The sequence below is a fragment of the Homo sapiens genome, chromosome 2, assembly GCF_000001405.40.
Source record: "Homo sapiens chromosome 2, GRCh38.p14 Primary Assembly".
Taxonomy (NCBI): Eukaryota; Metazoa; Chordata; class Mammalia; order Primates; family Hominidae; genus Homo; species Homo sapiens.
The window spans coordinates 117,290,708-117,308,193 of NC_000002.12; positions in this window are offsets into that span (position 1 = coordinate 117,290,708).

A 17,486-nucleotide genomic window follows, 5' to 3' on the forward strand; every position below is an offset into this window, starting at 1 on the left:
CTTGCATAACACCATGGGACCTATATAAAGTGCCACTAGTGCTTCTGGAAGTGCTCCCAAGAAGCAGAGAAAAGTCATGATTTTACAAGAAAAAGTTGAATTGTGTGATATGTACCATAGATTTAGATTTGCAGCTGTGGTTGCTTGTCATTTCAAAGCATTCATATTTTAAATAGACAAGGTAAACTTACAGTATCAATAAATACAGTGTATTACTATAAATGTATTTTCTTTTTCTTATGATTTTCTTGATAACATATTCTTTTCTCTAGCTTACCTTATTGAAAAAATATATTATATAATACATATAACAGACAAAGTATCTGTTAACTGTTTATATTACCACGAAGGCTTCTGGCCAACAGTAGACTATTAGTAGTTATGTTTCTGGGAAGCCAAAATTTATACATGGATTTTTGACTACACAGGAGTCAGTGCTTCTAAATCTCATGTTGTTCAATAATCAATTGTAATCTGATGAGAAAAAGATCTGAATAGACATTTCTCAAAAGGAGGCTGCAGATGGCCAACAGGTATATGGAAAAAATACTCTCAACATCATTAACCATGAGGGAAATGACAATAAAAAACACAAAGAGATATTATCTCACCTCAGTTAAAATGTCTTTTATAAAAAAGACAAAAAATAATGGATGCTGATGAGGATGTGAAAAAAGAGAAATACTCATACACTGTTAGTGGGAATGTAAATTAGTACACACACTGTGGAAAACAGTACAAAAGTTCCTCAAAAGCTGAAAATGAAAATACCATATAATTCAGCAATCCCACTGCTGGGTATATATCAAAAAGAAAATAAATCAGTATATGAAGAGATATCTGCACTCCCATATTTATTACAGCACTGCTCACAATAGCCACGATGTAGAATCAACCTGTGTCCATCAAAAGATAAATGGATGAATAAAATGTGATGACATATACACAATGTAATATTATTCAGCCATAAAAAAGAATGGCATCCTGTCATTTGCAACTATATGGGTGAAACTGGAAGCCTTTATGTTAGGTGAAATGTTCAGCACAGAAAGACAAGTATCACTGTTTCTACCATATGTGAGAGCTAAAAAAAGTGAATCTTATGAAAGTTGACAGTTAATTGGTGGTCACCAGAGGCTGAGAAATATGGGGTGGGGTGAAGAAGAGAGATGAGTTGATGGGCACAAAAATGCAGTTAGATAGAAGGAATGAGATCTAATGTTTGATAGTAAAGTAGAGTGACTATAGTTAACAATAATTTGTTGTGTAGATCAAAATTATTGGAGAAGAGATATTGCAATGATTGTACTATAAAGAAGGGGTGAATGTTTGGAGTGAAGGCTGTCCCAATTGCCCTGGCTTCATCATTACATATTGTATGCCTGTATCAAAATTTTACCAAATACTCCCAGGATATATACAACCATTACACATGAATAACAAATCAGGAAATAAAATAGACTTGACATCAAATATATCAGTCATATAAATAAATATGACTACACTTAACCAACTTATTAAAAATGATTTTCAAATTGACTTTCTAAAGAAAACCTATCTGCTAAGTACAATCAACATACCTTAAGTAGTGCTTTGGTAAAAGTCTTCAAAACATGGAAAAAAGATGGCCCATGATAAGTGAAACAAAAATGCTGGAATTGCTCAGACATACTCTGAAAAAAGGGGAATAAAAGTTTCAGGTAGATGAACATGTTGAAATGCATGTATTATGTATGGTTGGAAGACCTACCAGGTGATTATGTTATTGGGAAGAACTAAGTACATTTATTTACCAAGACCATAAATAATGCACTGGTGAGAGGAAGTTGGAGTCACATAAGAATCTAAAATTACATGTGTAAATCTCTAATTATATTTTCATTTATTTCAAGTCCCGCTTTTTCAGAAGCCAGACATATCCTGGAAAGTGATGGTACAGGGTCACACCTTCAACCAAGCAGTGGTCCTAATTATTGTGATCGCTAAGCTAGATGTAGTAACTTTGCAACAGCAGATTAACACAGCCTAATATACATGGTGTGAAGACATTATTTGGGGAATAAATTCTTTTCTATGTCAATCAGGAAAGGGAAATCAAAGACAATGTATATTATTTTACGACAGAAAATAATGTGTATTTTTTATTTTCTCTCCTAGGGCCATTCTACCTGTAATATAGTCCAAACAAGTCTGGGTCATCTGGACATCCCATAAAACATCACATTGATGATTTTACAATGATCAGGCCAGATAGCATGAAGTTGCTAGCATGCTGAAGGCCTTTGCAAAACACGTGAGCTCCAGGGCATAGGAAACAAGCCCTATGAAAATTAAGGGATTTATGGAGAGTCTTTGGTCCTGGAGGCAGTAGAGTTCACACTTGGTAATACTGCTCTAGCCCATGTGTTGTTTGACACAAAATTTTTCAGCTTTGACTGGGGACTAGAGCACAAACTGGCTCTGGAGACAGTCTGAACTAGCATACATGTGGAATGGGACATACAGTACAGCAGACCATGTGGTGTAGGATCAATGTTAAGAAAAGATGTAGTTTGAACTTTGTGGCAAGGCACAGTGAGAGAATCATAATACCTCTGTTCTTCTAATGCAAACCCATCGCATCTTTAGAAGACAATTAAACACATTTTGAACAACAATCTATGGCATAATATTAGGCCCTTACAGAAACATAACACCTGATCATGGTTCATGTAGCACTATTTCTTGAAAGCAACCACCCACTTGGCAGCAAGTTAACTATGCCAGACTCTCTTTATTCTGAAAAGGACAGCAATTTTTCCTCATGGATATAGGTATCAGTTCTGGGTACATTTTTGGTTTTTTCTTTTCCACATAGCTTCAGCCAGCACCATTTTCCAAAGGATTATAGAATTTTTTTTATCTACCAGCATGAAATTTCATTTAATATCAAAACAGTCCAGGGAATCCTCTTTATAACAGAGGAAGGGTAAGAGTGAGACCATAACCATGGGGTCCCCTGGTCATATTACGTACCTGCACCATCTAAATTTGCTGACCTGATAAAGCATTAGATGGTGAGCTGAATGTATAGCTGAAATACCTACATAGCTTGAAGGGAATGCATGAAAAAATGGTGCCTTTTACCAGGATGCAGTATATGTGTTAACTCAAACATATCAATACAGCACTGTGTCCTCAATAGGAAGAGTGCACGGAGTTCAAAAAACAAACAGTAGGAAAAAGAATGAGCCCAATAACACACATTTATATTCTCAATAAAACACTGAGGCATTGTGCACGTCTTGTTTCAAAACATTCAGAACCCCTTGTTTTTGAAACTAGAAGCAAAAAAGAGAAATCACTATTTTAAAAACAGAAACTGGCTTGGATTATCAGGAGGAGGGAGTTACTAATACACCACAAAAGTCAGGAGAAAAATTGATAAAATCCAGGTGATCCACTTAGGTAACTTTTGGTACTGTTTGGCTTAATTGTGATGGTAAATGGAGGGGACAGTACTCTTGGCCTTATATGGGAGCTCAGGTGGGCCTGTCTATTGAGACAGGGGCTCAGATCCCTCACATATGAGTCTGTGGGTCAAAATATCAAGAAACCATCAAAGCCAGAAGAGGTTCTAGCTGAAGGTGAAGAGAATCTAGACTGGGTTGTGAAGAAAGAAAACAGTGGCTGTTAACTGTAGACCTGAGACTCTCTCGTATGTTTCCCATCAGAAAGAGAAGTTCACTAGTCTCCTAATGAAAGAGTTCCCTGGGTGTATATGAAGATGTGGAGCTAAGTTGCACAAGAGATGGCATGTATCAGACAAAAAGATGTGTCTCCTAGATCCACCTTTATAGAAAGTGGGGCTGCTCAACTGAAGGAAATGCAGTTGGCAATCTCCAGCGCCCGGCTCCTTCAGGGTCTGCCTTAGATGCAGAGTGCTACCTCACCAAGGTCATAGAGTCCCCAGGGTAGCCCACATGTGATAACTGAACAAGGTGGGCGTACAAAAGTCTAGCCATATTTGCCTGTCATAGGACAAACAAACTTTGTCTCACTCTCTTCTGAGAACCAAGCCTGTGACACTTGAATATTTCCAAAAGCAAACAACAGAATATTTACTAACCAATGGCTTTCTGCTCTAACACCAATGCTCAGGGAGGAAGCCTAGAGGTATTCTCATATGTTGGCCTTATCCCACTGAAATTTTACAAAGTATAGCACTTTCATGTGAGGAGAAATGTTACAAATTACATTAATGGGACTCTATGGTCCATATAAGTCTTTATTTTAATGAGTTGAATTATAATGAATTTGATTTTTATTATCTCCCAGGGTGATTTTATAATTGATACAATCACCTTTCTCCAATAACTTCCTCCTTTAGCTACTTAATTCCATCTTGCTTGTTTTCTTTCTTAGTTTCCCTATGCTATTATAATAGGATGCTAATAAGTACCCCCTATTATAATAATGAGAAACAGTGTCTTTCCCATATAAAAGAAATGCTTTAACAGATTTCTTTCCTGCAAATGAGTTAGAGAACCCTTCCTTCATCAAGTCAATCTAGGGACACCTATTCATGTCAGTATTTTCAGAGAGAACTCTGAGCTGGACGTAAGGATCCCAATGTTCTTATTCTGGTTATGTGTGGTCTCCAATTAAGTTAGTCTTTCTGACCCATAGTAGTCATATTTTTTCCATGGAGATATTATCTTCTCTATATCATCATGTTATTGTTGTAGAATCTGAAAAGTTCTTATGAGAAAGTACATTGAAAAGTTCATAATACCTTACATTATAGAATGATTTTATTACCCAAGGCATATCTTTGAAAATGTCTGAGATATTAACTCATTCTTTAAATTTAGCTAAATAATGTTTTGAATTAATTTGATTCTAATCAATAGAACTGTTGATATAGCTGCAAACAGGGAACAATTAAACATGTAATCATGAGATATAAAAGAGTGAAGCAATATTGTGAGAATTCGCTCATATTCATGCTAAAATGTTTTGGATTGTTTAAAAACAGCAAAATAGAACAACGGAAATAAAGCCTTGTCTGAAATAAAATAATATCCAAAAAAATCACCATCTAATAAATCTAAAATTAGCCTGAATTGTTCCATTGCATTGTAATGAAAAAAATGTATAAATCAACAAGCTTTGAAAAGATAGATAAATCATTAGATAAAAATAACACAGGATTACTCCAAACAAATTATATTCAACAAACTTTATGGCTGTGCAACACTCATTTCCAAAATAATAAAGAAAATGCATCATGAACTGCATATTGGGATCTTACTGAAGTACTTGATCACCATGGCTCATAAAATTTTACTGGTAAAAAATTAGTAAAATTAGTTTTATATGAGCAGAGGAGTGTGGCCTGAAACCTTAGAACAAAATTAAGGAAGTCAGAGTGGAGGATAAATTGGGATGTGCTCAGTGGTTGCCAGTTTTTGGTCTGTAGAGTGACTTCATAAACTCTCCTGGGCCTTCATTAATGGGTGGGACATATGTACACAAATATGCCTAGCGCCTGCCTCAGACCTCCTAATAGAGAATCTCGGTAGTGGAACTGGAGAATCTGTATTTTGAACAAGATGTCTCAGGTGATACAGATTTGCTGCCATGTTTGTGGATTACTAGCATGACCATGTATATTGTAAAGGGGATACCTTAGCTCAACCAATAGCCAGAATGCCAGGTTCATTTAGAATGTATATGCAAGTGTGTTATCTGGAAGAAAGAGGTAATATAATTATTCTGAGACACTAAGCAAGATTGCATTGCCAAACCAAATCCAGAGAACATTGGACCCACATGCATTCTCTGCCTGCCAATAAAAACATCCTCTTCAGATTCATACTGCATGTGAGCCTCTAGGTGTGCCAGTTCTGTCACAAGAATGCATTCTCTCTACACTAATTAAGCCAGAATTATGATTCTAATCTGGTACTTCCAAAAATTTTCTTAGAGAAGATAAGTGTTTCATGGCTAAAAATGTTCGATTACTAAGTAAACGTGGGGAACTTGGGTTAACAAAGTTAAATGGGTTTCTTTACTGTAGGGCTTTTAAGAAGCCCTTTTAATATGTACTGTGGACTTCAAATATAAGCCACAAGACACAGTATTTCAAAACACTTTTATAAAAGTGTTTCACTCTTGTATATCTCATTATCATGTCCATGAGACACTTAAATTTCACAGGATGTATCTCTTGGGTCTAGTATTCTAGACCCAAGTGGAACACACTTTTGGAATCACTTTTATGTGTACTCAAAATCCCAGTTCTTTTTGTTTGTTTGTTTTAAATTTACTTACTTTTTTTATTTCAATATGTTTTGGGGGAACAGGTGATGTCTGGTTACATGAATAAGCTCTTTAGTGGGGATTTCTAAGATTTTGGTGCTCCCATCACCAATCACCTAAGCAGTGTTCACTGTACCCAATGTGTACACTGTACCCAAGGTGTGCTCTTTTATCCCTCACCCACCTCCCACCCTTTCCCCGAGTCCCCAAAGTCCATTGTATCATTGTTACATCTTTGGGTCCTCATAGCTTAGCACCTGCTTATGATGTGCTGTTACCTTAAGCTTGCTAGGATTTTGTCGAGGATTTTTGCATCAATGTTCAGGGAGATTGGTCTGTAGTTTTCTTTTGTTGTTATATCCTTTCCTGGCTTTGGTATCAGGGCAATACTGGCTCCCTAGAACAAGTTAGGGAAGATGCCCTCTTTCTCAGTTTTTTGGAATAGTTTCAGTAGGATTGGTACCAATTCTTCTTTGAAGGTCTGATAGAATTCTGCTGTGAATCCATCAGGCTCTGGGCTTTTGTTGTTGTTGTTGTTGTTGTTGTTGTTGTTGTTGTTGGCAATTTTTTAAATTACTGATTAAGTCTCACTCCTTGTTATTGGTCTGTTTAGGATTTCTATTTCTTCCTGATTCAAACTAGGAGGGTTTAATGTTTCCAGGAATTTATCCATTTCCTCTAGATTTTTCTATTTTGGGCACATAGAGGTGTGCATAGTGTCTCTAATAATCTTTTGTATTTCTGTGGTGTCTTGATTGTAATGTCTCCATTTCCATTTCTAATTGAGCTTATTTGAAACTTCTCTCTTCTTTTCCTGGTTAATATAGCTAATGGTCTATCACGTTTTTGTTTCTTTTCAAATAAACATTTGTTTTGTTTTATTGATCTTTGTATTTTTGGTTTTAATTCATTTAGTTTTTCTCTGATCTTTGTTATTTGTTTACTTCTGCTAGATTTGGGTTTGGTTTGCTTTTCTTTCTCTACTTCCTTGAGGTGTGATGTTAGGTTGCCAACTTGTGATCCTTCAGGCTTTTTGATGCAAGTATTTAATGCTCAATTTTTCTCTTAGCACTGCTTTTGCTTTATTCCAGAGGGTTTGATAACTTATGTCACTATTATGATTCATTCTGGATAATTTTAAAATTTTAATCTTGATTTTATTGTTAACACAAAAATTATTCAGGATCAGATTGTTTAAGTTCTATGTACTCTTATACTTTGGAGGATTCCTTTTGGAGTTGATTTCCAGTTTTATTCCACTGTGATGTAAGAAGATACTTGACATAATACTGATTTTTAAAAAATTTATTGGGACTTGTTTTGTGGCCTATCACATGGTCTAATTTGTAGACTGTTCCATGTGTTGATGAGAATAATGTATATTCCATATTTCTCGGGTAGAATTTTATGTAAATATCTGTTAATCCATTAGTTCTAGAGTGAAGTTTAAGTCCAGTGTTTCTTTGTTGACTTTCTGTCTTGATTATCAGTTTACTGGTGTCAGTGAAGTGCTGAAATACCACCCAAATGTTGTGTTGCTATCTATCTCTTTTCTTAGGACTAGTAATAACAGTTTTATGAATCTGGGAACTCTAGAGTTGGGTGCATATATATTTAGAATTGTGATATCTTCTTGATGAACTTATTCTTTTATAATTTAATAATGACCTTCTTTGCCTTTTTTTTTTTAACATTCTTGCTTTAAATTCAGTTTTACCTGCTGTAAGTGCAGCTACTCATGCTCCCTTTTGGTTTCTATTTGTATTAAATATCTTTTGCCACCTCTTTACCCTGAGTTTAAGAGAATCCTTATGTGTTAAGTGAGTCTGTTGAAGACGCAAATAGATGGTTTGTGATTTTTTTTATCCATTCTGCCAATCTGTATCTTTTAAGTAGAACATTTACAGCGTTTACATTCAATGTTAATAATGAGGTGTGAGGTAGTGATCCAGCCATGATGTTGTTTTCTTCATTATGTTATTTTGTTATAGGCCCTGTGAGTTTTAGGATGTCAAGAGGTTCTATTCTAGTGCATGTTGTACTTGTGTTTTAAGCTTTAGAACTCGTTTTAGCATTTCTTGTAGGACTGGTCTGGTAGTGACAAATTAGCTCAGCATGTACTTGTCTGAAAAAGACTTTATTCTCCTTCATTTATGAAACTTAGTTTGGCTGGATATAAAATTATTGGCTGGGACAGAGGTGGAGCATATGGCAGAATACAAGACTCCAGTGATTGCCCCCACCCTCTGCCACAAGGACACCAATTTAATTATCTACACACACACACAGACACACACACACAGCACTTTTGTAAGACCCCCAAATCAGGTGAGCACTCACAGTACTTGGTTTTAACTTCATATTGCTAAAAGAACCACTAAATAGGTAGGAAAAACAGTCTCACCACCACAATCCCTTCCCGACTTGTTACAGCAGAAATCAAAACCAGAACAAACTCTGCTAACACCTGCCTATGGAGGATGCATTTAAACCAGCTGTAGCCAGAGGGGAATCACCGATCCCAATGGTCAGAACTTGAACTTGAGTTCCCACATGCCTTGCTGCCATGGCCTAAAGTGCTCCAGGCAGTCTAGGCCACAAGGACTGTAATACCTGGGCTAGTCTTAGGGCTGAACTGGGCCCAGAGATAGTAGCCTGGGGTGGGGAGACACAGACCTGTTGAGTCACCAGCTGGAGCGGCTAAGTGTGTGCTTGCATAACCCTTCCCATGACCCCAGGCCACATAGCTCAGGCTCCAAAAGAGGCCCCTTTCTTCCACTTGAGGAGACAAAAAAAGTGAGGAGGGCTTTGTCTTGCATCTTGGATACCAGTTCAGCCACAGCAAGATAGGACACCAGTCAAAGTCATGAGGGCCTCTTTCCAGGCCCTAGCTCCCAGACATTTCTAGACATACCCTGGGCCAGAAGGGAACTCATTGTCTTGAAGCGACAATCCAGCCCTAGGAACAGAAGAACCCAGTCTCAGCTGGATTTATCACCTGCTAACTAAAGAGCCTTAGGGCCCTGATTAGCCAGCAGTGATGCCCAGGTACTGTATTGAGGGCTTTGAGTGAGATATGGACTTGCTGGCCTCTGGTGAGACTCAGCATATTCCCAGTTGTGGTGGCTATGGGGTGAGACTCCTTCTGCTTGACCAAAGTAGAGAGAAAAGTAAAGGGGACTTTGTCTTCCACCTTAGTTACAGTTTGGCCACATGGGAGCAGAGCACTAAGCAGGATCTTGCTGTCCCCAATTCTAGGACTTGATTCTTAAAAAGTATTTCAGCATCTTCCCTGGGTCAGAAGGGAGACCACTCCCCTTAAGGGTGAGTCCTAGGCCAGGCAGCGTTCACAACAAGCTGACTGAAGAGGCTTTGGGCCTTAAGGGAACATCAGTGGTAGTCTGGCAATACCCTCTGTGGGCCTGAGGTGGCCACGGCCACTGGGTGAGGCTACTCTGCCTTTGGAAAGAGGATGAAAGAGTGGGAAAGACTGCATCTTGTGGTGAGTGTCAGCTCAGCTTCAGTATAATAGAACACTATGCGAACTTCTACAGTTCTTGACTATAGACCTGGGCTCCCAGATAGCACCTCTGGACCCACCCCTGGGGGAACTCACCACCTTGAAGGGAAAAACATATGCTTGGCTAGCTTTGCCACTTGTTGATTATAGAGTCCCAGCCAGGGAGTGGTTGCATCAGGCCTTGGGTGAGACTCAGCACTGTGCTGGCTTAAGGTCTCCTTCAGGACAGTCCTAGGGGTTGTAGCTACAGGGGTTACTTGTGTCACTCCACTCCCAGCTCCAGGCAGCTCAGAGCAGAGAGGTAGAGACTCCATTTGTTTGGAATAAAGTAAGGGAAAAAACAAGAGTCTCAGCCTGGTAATCCAGAGAATTCTTCCCGATCTTGTTCAAAGCTATTAAGGTGGAAACTCTATGCATCTGAAAGAACCACAGTGCTACTGGGTTTGGTGTCCTCCATAAAGCAGATATAGTTTAGATCACAATACCCAATTCCTTTTGAATATCTGGAAATTCTTCCCCGAAAGGATGGGTACAAACAAACCCAGACTGCAAAGACTACAATAAATACTTAACTCTTCAATGCCCAGACACTGAAGAACATCTACTAGCATCAGCACCATCCAGGAAAACATGACCTCACCAAATTAACTAAGTAAGGCACCAGAGACCAATCATGAAGAAACAGATATATGACTGCTCAGATAATTCAAAATAGCTATTTTGAAGAAACTCAAAGAAAATTCACAATAGCACAGAGAAGGAATTCAGAATTCTATCATACAAATTTAACAAAGAAATTGAAATAAAAAGAATCAAACAGAAATTCTGAGGTTGAAGAATGCAATTGACATACTAAAGAATGCATCAGAGTCTTTTAACAGCAGAATTGATCAAATAGAAGAAAGAATTAGTGAGCTTGAATACAAGCTATTTGAAAATACGTACAGTAGACAAAAGAAAAAAGACTAAAAAACAATGAAGGACACTTACAGAATCTAGAAAATAGCCTAAAAAGGGAAAATCTATGAGTTATTGGCCTTACAAAGGAGATAGAGAGATAGGGGTAGAAAGCTTACTCAGGGAAATGGTAATAGAGAGTTTCCCACACCTAGTGAAAGATATTAATATCCAAGTACTGGAAGGATATAGAACACAAAGCAGTGAAGACTACCTCAAGGCATTCAATAATAAAACTCCCAAAAGTCAAGGGTAAAGAAAGGGTCCTAAAAGCAGCAAGAGAAAAGAAACAAATAACATAAAATGGAGCTCCAATACATCTAGCAGCAGACTTTTCAGTGGAAACCTTATAGACCAGGAGAGGATGTCATGACATACTGAAAGTCCTGAAGAAAGAAATATTTTATCCTAGAATAGTATATCTGGTAAAATTATTCTAAAAACATAAAAAAGAAATACTTTCCCAGACAAACAAAAGCTGAGGGATTTCATCAACACCAGATCTGTCCAACAAGGAATGCTAAAGGGAGTATTTCAATCAGAAAGAAAAGAATGTTAATGAGCAATAAGCGATCAACCAAAGGTACAAAACTCGCTGGTAACAGTAGGTACACAGAAAAACACAGAATATTGTAACACTGCAACTCTGGTATGTAAACTACTATTATCTTATGTAGAAAGACTTAAAAATAAACTAATAAAAATGATAACTACAACTTTTCAAGACATAGGCAATATAATATGGTATAAATAGTAACAACAAAAAGTTAAAAAGTAGGGGGATAAAGTTAAGGCATAGAGTATTAGTTTTCTTTTGGTTGTTTGTTCATGCAAACACTGTTAAATTGCTATCAGCTTAAAATAATGGATCATATGCTAGTATTTGCAAGCCTCGTGGTAACCTCAAAAAAGCATATGATGGATACACAAAAAGTAAAAAAGGAAGGAATTAAATCATCACCAGAGAAAATCATCATCACTAAAAGGAAAAGAGAAAAGAAATAAAGAAAGAAAGAAGAAAAGACCACAAAATGACCAGAAAAGAAATAATAAAATAGCAAAAGCAATCCTTACTCATCAATAGTAACATTGAATGTAAACTGACTAAATTCTCTAATCAAAAGACATAGGGTGATTTAATGAATAAAAAAACAAGATGCATTGATCTGTTGCCTACAAGAAACACACTTCACCTATAAAGACAAACATAGACTGAAAATGAAGGGATGGCAAAAGGTATTCCATGCCAATGGAATCTACAAAAGAGCAAGAGTTGCTATATTTATATCACACAAAATAGATTTAAGGACAAAACTATAGGAAGAGACAAAAGGGTTATGATATAATAATAAAGTGGTCAATTCAGCAAGAGGATATAATGATAGTAAATATATATATGCACCCAGCACTGGATCACCCAGATGTATAAAACAAATATTATTAGATCTAAAGAGAGACATAAACTTCAATACAATAATAGATAGAGACTTAAACACCCCACTTTCAGCATTGGATAGGTCATTCAGACAAAAAAAAAAATCAACAAAGAAACATCAGACTTAATCTGCACTATAGACCAAATAAATCTAATAGCTATTAACAGAAGATTTTATCCAGCAGCTTAACAATACACATACTGTTCCTCAGCACATGGATCATTCTTAAGGATAGACCATATGTCAAGTCACAAAACAAGTCTTAAAGCATTCAAAAAAATGAAATAATATAAAGCTTATCTAATCATGATGGAACAAAACTAGAAATTAATAACAAGAGGAATTTTGGAAACTGTACAAATACATGGAAATTAAAGAAAATACTCCTGAATAATGAATGGGTCAATAAAAAAAATTAAGAAGGAATTTAAAATTTCTTGAAACAAAAGATAATAAAATATGACATATCAAAAGCTGTAGGATACAGAAAAAGAAGTACTAAGAGAGAATTTTATAGCTATAACTGTCTGAATCAAAAAAGAAGAAAAACTCCAAAGAAACAACCTACCAGTGTAAGCAACTAGAAAAACATGAGTGAACCAAACCAAAAATTAGTAGAAAAAAAATAATGAATATCAGTGCAGAAATAAAGGACATTGAAATAAAGAAAACTATGCAAAAGATCAAAGAAACAGTAAGTTGGTTTTTTTAAGAGTTAAACAAAATAGACAAACCTTTAGCCAGAATAAGAAAAATAAAAGAGACCCAAATAAATAAAATCAGAGATTAAAGATGAGACATTACAACCGATACTGCAGAAATGATCATTACCAGCTACTATGAGCAACTATATACCAATATGTAGAAAAATCTAGAAAAAATGGACAAAATAGTAGACACATACGACCTACTAAGATTGAACAATGAAGAAATCTAAAACCTGAACAGACCATTAACAATTAACAGTATTAAAGCTGTAATAAAACACCTCCCAGTAAAGAAAAACCTGGGACCCGATGAATTTACTGCTGATACTTGCCAAACATTTGAAGTAAAACTAATACCAATCTTACTCAAACTATTCCAAAAAATAAAAGGGGAGAAACTACTTTCAAACTCATTCTACAAGGCTACTATTACCCTGTTACCAAAACCACGCAAAGACAAAAAATAAAAATAAAAATAAAAACTACCTGCAGTCCAATGATCATTCATCATGACCAAGTGGGATTTATACCTCGCATGCTATAAGCAAATTAATCAATGTGATACATCGTGACAACAGAACAAAAGACAAAACCCATATGATCATTTCAATTGATGCTGAAAAGCATTTGGTAAAATTCAACATCCCTTTATGATAAAATCCTTCAAAAAAAAAAAAAGGAATAGAAGGAATGTACTGCAACATAATAAAAGCCTTATATGACAGACCCACAGCTAGTATCATACTGAATGGGGAAAAATGGCAAGCCTTTTCTCTAAGATCTGGAACACAACAGGGATGCCCACGTTCACCACTGTTATTCAACATAGTACTGAAAATCCTAACTAGAGCAATCAGACAAGAGAAAAATATGAAGGACATCCAAATTGAAAAGAAAGAAGTCAAACTATTCTTGTTACATATGTTATATAATATTCACAAAAACCTGAAAACTCCACAAAAAAACTGTTAGACCTGGAAACCAAATGCAGTAAATTTGCAGAGTGCAAAATGAACATACAAAAATTATTAACATTTCTATATGCTAATAGTGAACAATCTGAAAGAGAAATTTTAAAAGTAGTCCCATTTACAATAGCTACAAATAAAATTAAATACCTAGGAATTAACCAAAGAAAGTAAAAAAATCTCCACAATGAAAACTATAAAACACTGATGAAATAAAGAGGACACCAAAAAATGAAAATATATTCCGTCCTCACGGATTGAAGGAATCAATATCATTAAAATGTCCATACTACCCAAAGCAATCTACAGATGCAATGAAATCCCTCTCAGAATACCAGTAACATTCTTCACAAAAATAAAAATAAAAAATTCTAAAATTTATATGGTACTACAAAAGACCCAGAATAGCCAAAGTTATCCAAAGCAACAAGAACAAAATGGAAGGAATCACATTACCTGACTTCTAATTATACTACAGAGTTACAGTAACCAAAGCAGCATGATACTGGCATAAAAACAGATACACATACCAATGGAACAGAATAGAGAACCAAGAAACAAATCCACACTCCTACAGTAAACTCATTTTTAACAAAGTTGCCAATAATATACACTGGGGCAAGTCAGTCTCTTCAATAAATGATGCTAGAAAAGCTGAATAGCCACATGAAGAAAGATAAAATTAGACTCTATCTCTTGCCATTTACAAAAATCAATCAAAGTAGATTAAGGACTTAAATCTAATACCTCAAACTATGAAACTACTACAATAAAACATTGAGAAAATGCTCCACGACATCAGCCTGGCCAAAGATTTCTTGAGTAATACCCCACAAGCACAGGAAATCAAAGAAAAAAATGGACAAATTGGATCACTACAAGTTAAAAATCTGCACAGCAGAGGAAACAATGAACAAAGAGCACAGACAACTAACAGAATGGGAGAAAATATCTGCAAACTATCCATCTGACAAGGGATTAATAATCAAAATACATAAGGAGCTTAAGCAACTGATTAGGAAAATATCTAATAATCCAATTTAAGAATGGGTAAATTGTTTGAATAGACATTTTTCAAAAGAAGACATACAAATGGCAAATGAACATATGAAAAGTTGGTCAACATCATTAAGAAATGCAAATCAAAACTACAATGAGATATCATCTCACCCAGTTAAAATGGCTTTTATTCAAAACACACGCAATAATAAATGCTGGTGAGGATGTGGAGAAAAATGAACCCCCATACACTGTTTGGAATGTAAATTAGTACAACCACTATGGATAACAGTTTGAAGTTTCCTCAGAAAACTAAAAATAGAGCTACTATACAATTCAGTAATTCCACTTCTGGCTATACATCCAAAAGAAAGGAATCAATATATCAAAGAGATATCTGCACTCTCATGTTTGTTGCAGCTCTTTTCACAATAGCCAAGATTTGGAAGCAATCTAAGTGTACATCAGCAGATGAATGGATAAAGAAAATGTGGTATTTATACACAGTGGAGTACTATTCAGCCATAAAAGCAAAATGGAATTCAGTCATTTGCAACAACATGGGTGGAACTGCAGGTCCTTATATTAAGTGAAAAAATCCAGGCACAGAAAAACAAACATCACATGTTCTCATGTATTTGTGGGATCTAAAAATAAAAATAATTGAACCCATGGAGAGAGAGTAGAAGGATGGTTACCAGATGCTGGGAAGGGTAGGGGAGGTAGTGGTGGGGAGGTCGGAATGGTTAAGGGGTACAAAAAATTGAATGAATGAATAATAAGGCTTAGTATTTGATAACATAACAGGGTGACTACAGTCAATACAAATTTAATTGTATGTTTTAAAATAATACAATTGTATTGTTTGTAACACAAAGGATAAATGCTTGAGGGATGGATATCCCATATCCCATAATGTGATTATTATGTATTGCATACCCATATCAAAACATTTCATGTCCTCCATAAATATATACATCTTCTATGCACTCACAAAATTAAATAGAATTTTTTTTAATTTAAAAAATTCTTGACTGACAGTCAATTCTCTTTAAGGAGTCTAAAGATAGAATCCCATTCCTTTCTGGCTTTGAAGGATTCTGCTGAGAAGTTTGCTGTTAGTTCAATAGGCATTCCTTTCTAGGTTACCTGATGTTTTGTTCTCACAGCTCTTAGAATTCTTCCCTTCACATTGACTTTAGATTGTCCAATGAACATATGCCTAGGTGATACCCTTTTTGCACTGAATCTCCCAGGAGTTCTTTGAGCTTATTGTATTTGGATGTTTAAATCTCTAGCAAGGTCAGGGACGTTTTCCTCAATTGTTCCCTCAAATAAGTTTTCCAGGGCTGGATGTGGTGGTTCATGCCTGTAATCCCAGCCCTTTGGGAGGCTGAGGTAGGTGGACCACATGAGCCCAGGAGTTCAAGACCACGCTGTTGCAACAGGTGTGCAACCCTGTCTCTACAAAAAATTACAAAAAAATAGCAAGGTGTGGTGGCACGTGCCCGTAGTTACTGCTACTCGGCAGACTGAGATGGGAGGATTACTGGAGCCCTGGAGGTCAAGGATGCAGTTAGCTGTGATTGTGCTACTGCACGCCAGCCTAGGCAACAGACTGAGAATGTCTCAAGAAAAAGTTTTCCAAACTTTGTGCTTCTTCTCTCTCAGGAATGCCAGTGATTCTTAGGTTTGGCCATTTTGCATAATCCCAAATTTCTTGGAGACTTTATACATTTCTTTAATTTTTTTTTCTGTATGTTTGTATGATTGCATTAATTCGAAAGCTTTGTTTTCAAGCTATGAAATTCTGTCTTCTATTTGGTCTATTCTATTTTTAAAAGTTTCCACTGCGTTTTGTAATTTCCTAAATATATCTTTCTTTTTCATAAGTTCTAGTTGGTTTTTCTTTAAAATTTCTATCTCTTTACAAAAGTTTTCACGTATGTCCTGAATTGTTGCTTTTAAATTTCCTTAGGCTGATTTTCACCTTTCCATTGTATCTGCTTGAGTAACTTAGTAATAAAACTTTTGCTTTCTTTATCTGATATTTCAAAGATTTCATCTTGGTTTGGATCCATTTCTGGAGAGCTAGTGTGATTTTTGGTGTGTCAGGGAACTCTATTTATATTGCCAGAATTATTTTTCTTGTTCCTTTTCATTTGGGTAGACTGTCTTCTAATTATTTTTGAAATTATTTTTGATTTGACTTTTTAAAAAATTCCCCCTTTAGGATGACTTTAATGATTTCAGTCCGTTGTAATTAAATTTGGATCTGACTTCTTTAGGGTGTGAAGACTTTGTGTGAGTTTCTTTGTTATAAAGAGACTTTGTATGATGGCTTCTCAGATTATGTTTGTAGTAGCAAAGTGGTAGGTGTGCAAGCATTTTCACTGTCTCTTGTGGGGTTGAAATGGAAGAGGTCCCTTGAAGATTATCTCATTCTCCAGTGGTGTGCACTTTTTGTTTTACTTTTTCCTCAGTATTTTATTTATTGGGTCGAATAGTTCACATTTCAGGCCAGTAAGGAAGGTGCCCATGGGAAAAAAACTGGATGTGTCTAAAGCAGGTGGGTAAATGAAATACCCAGTGGTGG